The sequence below is a fragment of the Homo sapiens genome, chromosome 8 (assembly GCF_000001405.40).
Source record: "Homo sapiens chromosome 8, GRCh38.p14 Primary Assembly".
Lineage (NCBI taxonomy): Eukaryota > Metazoa > Chordata > Mammalia > Primates > Hominidae > Homo > Homo sapiens.
Window position 1 is genome coordinate 53,142,545 of NC_000008.11, and position 8,354 is coordinate 53,150,898.

Sequence of the window (8,354 nt, forward strand, 5' to 3'; positions counted from 1 at the left end):
AGTGGTTTTTAGAAGCGGGACTAGCTTCAGAGAAGAGAGGCAGGAGGAAGTTTATCTGATAGGTGTTAGGACCCAGGAGGCAAGCATCAGGATAGATAGGATAGATGGGTGAGTCTCACTTGGGCAATGTGACTTTCAGAGTTTCTCTCATGGCTACAGGGTCAACCAACTTTTTGTTGGACCCCAGAGCTGAATGGCTTTCCTCTCTGTCAACCCTCAGCTCAGCCCGGAAGTACAGGAAAAGCAGAAGCTGGTTCCAGTACAGGAAAAGCAGAAGCTGGTTCCAGGCAAACCAATGCTATCAACTCCAAAGAGTCAGGGGTTGTTAGAGAGTCCTTTCCCAGAAAGCCTGACACTCGTGTCTTTAGTTGGGTGGCCATGCTAGTCACTTTTAACTGGCTGACAAGTGCCCAGTGTTTAACCCCCAAATTCCAAGGAAAAATAGGACAGAATAGCAAGTGAAAGGGGTCCAGTGGTATTCACCAGTTGGCAATAGTCCCTTTGTAATCACGAAGATGTATCCAGAGTTTGTTCCTTCCAGTGGGTTGGTGGTCTCGCTGACTTCAGGAATGAAGCCATGGACTTTCGCGGTGAGTGTTACAGCTCTTAAAGGTGGTGCGGACCCAGTGAGTGAGCAGCAGCAAGATTTATTGTGAAGAGCAAAAGATCAAAGCTTCCACAGCACGGAAGGGCACCCGAGCAGGTTGCTGTTGCTGGCTGGGGTGGCCAGCTTTTATTCCCTTATTTGTCCCCACCCACATCCTGCTGATTGGTCCATTTTACAGAGTGCTGATTGGTCCATTTTACAGAGTGCTGATTGGTCCATTTTACAGAGTGCTGACTGGTCCATTTTACAGAGTGCTGATTGGTCTATTTTAGAAACCTATAGCTAGTCATGACAATTAGATTGGTGCATTTTTACAAAGCATGGATTGGTGCATTTTACAAGCCTCTAGTTAGCTCTAGAGCACTGATTGGTGCGTTTTACAATCCTAGCTACAGAGTGCTGATTGGTGCATTTTACAATCCTCTTGTAAGACAGAAAAGTTGTCCAAGTCTCCACCCAACCCAGAAGTCCAGGTGGCTTCACCTCTTACAACTACAGGTTGAGCATACCTAATCCCAAAATCTAAAATTTGAAATGCTCCAAAATCCAAAAGGTTTTGAGTGCTGACATGATGCCACAAGTGGAAAATTTCACATATGACCTTGTAACAGTTCATAGCCAGAACTTTATTTTATGCACAAATATTATTTTAAATATTTCAGAAAATCCTAACTTCAACCTATTTATAAGGTGTATATGAGACACAAATAATTGTATGATTAAACTTGGATCCCATTTCCAAGGCATCTCATTATGTATATGCAAGTATTCTAAAATAAAACAATAGAAATTTGAAACATTTCTGGCCCAAGCATTTTGGACAAGGTATACTCAATCTGTATTATGTAATTTCTTTGTCTCACTTTGCATTTGAGTTCTGTATTAATTTTCTGAGGATTCCATAGCAAAATAGCATAAATTGCATGGCTTAGAACAAAAAAAATATTATCCCACAGTTCTGAAGGTCAGAAGTCCAAAATCAAGGTGTTGGAAAGTTTATCCTCCTTCTGAAGGTGTAGGGAAGGACATTTTTCAGGTCTCTCTCCTAGCTTCTAGTAGTTCTGGGCCCATGGCTGCATAGTTCCAATCTTCACATGGTATTCTGTCTGCATGTGAATCTGCGCCCAAATTTCCCTCTTATTTAGAATAGAGACATCAGTCATATGGATTAGGAGCCCACCCTATTCCAGTATGACTTTATCTTAACTAATTACATCTGCAATTACCTTATTTCCAAACAAGGTTACATTCTGGGGTGCTTGGGCTTAAGATTTCAACATATGAATTTTGGAGAAACACAGTTCAACCTATAACAAGATCACAATATTGTTGGTGTCAAGTGATGACTGAAATTTACAGTGTTTCTTTATTGAGGTCCATGGACTCCTGTGTCAGCAGATTTCTTTCCATGTCCACAGGTCCCAAGTTATAAAAATATGGGTGTACAGAGACTTCCACTTTAGACACAGGCTCTAGGGGGGTGACGTTAGAAGAAATTGAGCTCTTTTATTGAGCTATGATAGCTGTATTAATTGTGGCTCAGAACAAGCTCAAGGATGCCAAAATCAAGTGTCACATTAATCAAGCTCCCCCCAGGTTGGTCATGGAAGATAGTATCTGGTGGTAAACTGAGGTGGTAAATAAGAATTGAGGCCAGGCACTCAGCAATGTCATTCTGCTAAACCCAGTCAAACACCCAGGAAATGATGTCAGAGTGGGGTGAAACCAGATGATAAGTGAAGCTGTAGTGCCAGAGAGTAGAGATGCTGGGGTGATATTTAAACCTAGGAAACACTGAATGAATTCTTCCCTACCTGAGGTTATCTTACACGCCAAATCCTGAGCCTTTAACTCCACACATTTCTCTAATATTTGGAACCATGTGGGATCTCTAAGAAGTCTGTGCAAGAGCCTTGAGGGCTTTTGAGCACCCTATGTACAGTTTTCTCCCAATGTGGTAAAGTTTCATGGTCTCTGTTTCGGAATATGACCCTCACTTGGGGAAGGACATGGGGGCTAGCAATGGTTCTTTCACTGTTAGGATTTCACGTTTAAAAACTGTTGAACCTAACGAGAGGACAAGTGTTATCGCTCATTCCATTTTTCATAAAGCCATTTGAGCAAATATTTCTTTAGATTGCTTAAAAGTCCAAGGTAAGACTGAAATGTAACAGTTACAGCACTAAAAATGTGATACAATCTTTCATTTGCTAGTAAAGATAGTAATACATGATAAAGAAGAGCAAAAAGAAAAATCCAACTCTGAGCTGTTAAAAGAAACCCAGTAAAAATAAGTTGTCACAGAGGATAAAGAGAATGGCTGAGTAAAGGCACTGTTCTTTATTACAGAACAACATTGTTTTCTTCTGTAATAAAGAAAATATTAAAGTTTTTAAAAAGTTCCTTATCAATCAATATTGGTTACATAAATATTAAATTTAGAGCAGAACAATTTATTTGCCTGCCTTTTGTTAAAGGACATTGGCTGGTCAGTGTTAGCTGATATTTACATAATCCTAGTTAAAAATATAAAATTCTGAGCTGGAGAATACTTTATATTATTATTTTTTAAGTTGAAAAATAAGTTTTCATATTCTGTGAGGAACATTTTGTACCTAAAAATCCATTTGCCATTGCTGTTAGAAACTATGAAAATGTTAACAAGGTTTTCAGAGTATGCTAATGATGTGCTGTCTCTTGAAGAGGAACGTAATGTGACTGACCTGAGGTGCAAGCTTTGAGTGGCTAAAACAATTACATTTTTCTGGCAATAGCACATATAACATGGGTGTTTGGGGTTTTCTTTTTGAGAGGCCCCTTAGTGGGATTCAAGTGGAGTTCATACCCAGAGAGTTGACTGCTCAGAGGTAGACATCCACAGGTATAAATGAGTGGAATGTGTTCTGATGTAATTGATTGAAGTGAACATGTGCCTCACACATTCCAGATGAGTGTAAAGGGCAACTACACAGCCTGGAGAGCCCTTAGGGCCCAGGGATGGGGGCTGTTCTGCTGTCAAATATTTTTCCAAGTTCTATCCCTGTGCCTTTATACTTGTACTCTTCAAGGACACATTTTGGTAAACCACAGGCCTTCGTATACCCATACGTGTTTGGTCTTATTTTTTTGCCTGCACTCTTATAAAACCAGACATCCACAACAAAGGCCAAGCTACTTCACCTGAAATTGGATGCACTATTTTGACCTCAGTTGCACGGGGCTCTCATCAGTTGATAATACATTCAGTGAGGCCTAAGGTCATGTGTACCAACCTGCACCAAGGGAAACCTGTGCCAGCAGTTCTCAAAGTATGATCTGTGGAACCCCCATGGAGTCCACAAAGTCAAAACTACTTTTGTAATAATATTCAGATTTTATTTACCTTTTTAACTGTGTTGACATTTGCACTAATGGTGCAAGAACAATAGTGGGTAAAACTGCTGATGCCTTTGCATGAGTCAAAGCAGTTGCAATAAACTCTGCAAGTCAGCATTGAGTTCTTCACCACACACTGTCAGTAAAAACTATATGCCAGTGTCACATAAAAACCACCTTGACAAAGAAAAATTAATACTTTTATTACATATTATCCTTTAAATATGTCTTTTAATACTCAGTGTGATGAAATGATAAATAAGCATAAGGCATTTCCACTGGATACTAAAATACGGTGGTAAATCTGAAGGAAATTCACATGTGGGATTGTGTGGGCTGCAAGCTGAACAAGCCATTTATTTTTACGAACACCATTTTTACTTGAGAGAATTACTGACAAACCATGGATATTTAGACTCGAGTATTTGGCAGGCACTTTCTCAAAAATGAACAGAGTAAGCCAGTCACTTCAAAAAAGGCAACAACTCAGTGCTCACTGCCAATGACAAAACACGAGCTTGCAAGTGAATATCAGAACCTTGGAAAGCTTGTAAAAGTCAGTGCAAGCTTAAGAGTTTCCTGTTAGTTAAAGACTTTTCTGATGTAACTCATGGTAATATTAAGTGTCAACATTTGGAAGATCTATATAACTCAGTGAACTAGTATGTTGCCAAAATCTAATGCATAATGCTACAATATTATGTTTGGTAAAAGAACTACTCAAAATGCAATGGATTTTAATGTTAGTATGAAAAATTCACTAAAATGATTTCAAATTCCACATTGGTGAACAACGTGAAGAAAATACCACTTGTCTGATTTTGCTCTAGTAGCAAAGAAGATTCACAATGGGCTAAAGTGGCTATTAAAGTACTCCTTCCTTTTCCAACTACCTGTATGAAATTGGATTTTCTTCATATATTTCAACAAAACAATATATTGCAACAACTTAAATGGAGAACCAAATATGAGAATTGCTGTCCTCTCTTAGGCCAGACATTAAAGGGGTTTATAAAAATGTAAAACAATGCTACTCTCCTCTCTATTTTTTGTTTCCTTGTTTTGCAAAATCTAATTTTGTTTTATAAAAATATATTATTTATAATTATACTTAATGGATTTGTTGTTATCATTTCAAATGAATTAATAAATGAAAGGTTTAGCCGGGGGTGGTGGCTCACGCCTGTAATCCCAGCACTTTGGGAGGCAGAGACGGGCAGATCACGAGGTCAGGAGTTTGCGACCAGCCTGTCCAATATGGTGAAACCTTGTGTCTACTAAAAAATACAAAAATTAGCTGGGCATGGTGGCGCGTGCCTGTAGTTCCAGCTACTCTGGAGGGTGAGACAGGAGAATCACTTGAACCTGGGAGGTGGCGGTTGCAGTCAGCCAAGATTGCGCCATTGCACTCCAACCTGGGCAACAGAGCGAGACTCCATCTCAAAATAAATAAATAAATAAATAAATAAATAAATAAATAAATAAATAGTTTAAAATGCAGTAGCTTCATTTTCTAATATGGCAAATATTAGTATATATAATCTATATAAATGAAGGCTTTCAGGGGTTCTTAATAATTTTTAAAAGAAAAAAAAGAAAAAGATGGCACTGACCGACATAATATATACAAACTGTATCTTCCTATATAAGATAAAGAAGAATTATGGACTAGTGAAATAACTGAGACATAGAATCAAGAACATTTCAAATAAAAATAAATTTTCCCTCATTTGACTAGCTCTTTCAGCTACAATAGATTTTATATCCTGAGTCATCTAAGAATAATTCTTTACTTAATATTAACTTTCTGCTTAGAATAAGCACCCAGGCATAACGTTTTATCCATTAAAATACATTGAGTAGCTCTATCAAAATCTGGCCACACAACTTTGGGGCATGGCTTGAGCCAATGTTTAATGAAAAACTCACTGGCCTAGGGCCCCATTATCCATTTTGCAGCTAGAATGAACTTTAACAAACACACATCTGATCTTTGTCCTGCTCTCTACGACAAGACAAGATTAGAGAGTTTTCATGGAATATCCATGCAGTTTAGGATATAGCCCAGACTTCGCATTACTTCTAAGAAGTAAGACAAGGCATCTGCTCACCTCTTGTCTTACCATTTTTCCTTTTCCATTCTATATGTATAATTTCCTTAATGTTCCATACTCTCAGAGAGTGAGGTTTTTTTAAAATAGTATCTTCCGAGTCTAAACCCAATGCTTTAATATATGGACATTACTGCCATCATAATATTTATTGCATACAAAATGCTTTCCTAAGTGTTATCTCTTTTCATTCTCACAAGAGCACAATATGCGATATTATCCTATTACAACTTACAATATAAGGGATTGAGATCCACAGGGGTTAAGTAGCATCCTCGAGATCACAGTTGTTAAGTGAAAAGGGCTGGCACTTAAGCTCCAGTCTTCTGATCTAACTTCCCTGATAGTTCACTGCACTAATGTGGTCAGAAAAGTGCCTACATGTATCTAATATGTACAGCTCTGTTACTCTTCTGGTAATATCAAAATTTTGAGATTTTTTTTTTTAGCCAGCTCCAAATGATTCATCTGACTTGAATGGTTCTATATCACCCATTATTTACACCAGAATACCATAAAGATCTTCCAGAACCCAATCAACCATTATAAGTGAAGTTCAGTGTCAATTCTTGCAACGTGAATTATTACTTCTGTAGAGTAAGAACTTTACTAATATATGCATATAATATCTAATTTACTTGAAAATTCTACTGCCTAGACTACACAAAGAAGTTATGTTTCATACTGTTAGTTTTAATCCACAACTTGATGATGAGTAAACAGCATTTGAAGAACCATAATGGGATAAACCCTCAGGGATAGCTTGCATTTAAACACCCAAGTCAAAAGTCCACATTCTGCTGTGTTGACCACAAGACTTCCAGCTTCTTTCCACACATTCAGCACCAGAGGTTTACCAGCTGGCATAATGGATACTAGGAATGACTTCACCAGCAAAATGAACGGGGTGCATGAACAGAACATAAGCACTTACACAAATTATAGGGAATGGTGCATTTTTTTCAGCTGAAAATTCCCAACTGGATTAGGTCAATTTTCAACAGCTCCTGGGTTCAGGGATCATCAGAAGATTTTGTCCCTGGATTCTGGCTGGAGCATTAGCCAAACTGAAAAATAGACTATTATCTCATCTGCCTTAAATGGGCCTTTCCTGAATGGGGTTACAACCTACCTGGATACCCTTTAAGGTTCCTTAATGTCAGTATGCATGGCAAGATTAAGCATAAAACATTATATATTTCTGTGTTTTGAAATTGTGTAGAGGAAATCTATTACACTGACCCACTTCTAACTATTAGAAGCTATGAATATTAACCCCCCAAAATCTGATCATTGTAAATGACAAAATTTACATAGTTCAATTTTCAAAACTTCTATTATAAAGCAGTATAAGGAACTTAGAATGTTGCTACTTCATAAGTAATATTAAATCAAATAGTGTTGAGTTACTTGCTATTTTTCCTATTTAAAGACTACAGAAAATAGGATTGCCTTTCACTTTGTACTTTATGTTCTTCTGTATTATTCAAATTACATAATATTAATATTCTATATTACTCACATTATATAATAAACATGTATTACTTTTTAATAAAAACTCCTAAATAATAGAAAAAACTAAATTAATTTGATGCTAAGATTGATGTAGAACTGCAACTTCTTGTACAACTCCCTAATTTCAGGTTTTTGGGCTGATAAAAATATCATCACTATTTTCTTAATAAATTACTATAGAAATGTTATTTACTTGAGTTCATATTAATTTTATGTGTGAATTTTTAAGGACAGAGTGACCCAGTTCTTTTATAAAACTCTGAAAAGCTCAATCAGGATCCTTTATTATCTTCACATTCCATAAAGCTGAGTCCTCATTGTCGAACTGTGGTCAACATGCCAACAGTAATCTTGAGTATAACAAAAGATTTAAAAATTTTAAAAGCTATCATGTAGTAAATCATTTTGTTTTGTTTTGTGGATGAAAACTGGAAGTTAGGGACTGTATATTATAATCTTTAAAACATCTCCATTGCTTGCGTGTAATGCTGTGTATATATGCCTGATTTATGGAATGAACACATGGTTTTCATCTCACTTAGTGCCTATGTGTTTGAAAATTAGTTTAAAAATTAACTACCTATATGAATGTTAATTTTTTAAGATGCCCAACCCTCTTGCTAGTTTTAGCATTTTCTGTAAGAATTAGAAGTGAAAGATAATGGTATATATAGTGTACCCACCAAGATATTTCTCAGTACCTAGGTTTATTACAATCTGGGGGAGAGAGCAAGCTACACTGTAAA

General features: G+C 37.0%; 1 annotated feature.

Moving 5' to 3' along the window:
* Positions 332 to 1,531: an enhancer, noted in NCBI's record as "BRD4-independent group 4 enhancer chr8:54055436-54056635 (GRCh37/hg19 assembly coordinates)". NCBI's record gives its function as "activates an origin of replication core promoter dependent on BRD2, P300/CBP, MED14 and CDK7 cofactors, and independent of BRD4, by STARR-seq in HCT116 cells {active_cell/tissue: HCT116}" and the evidence as "EXISTENCE:reporter gene assay evidence [ECO:0000049][PMID:35650434]".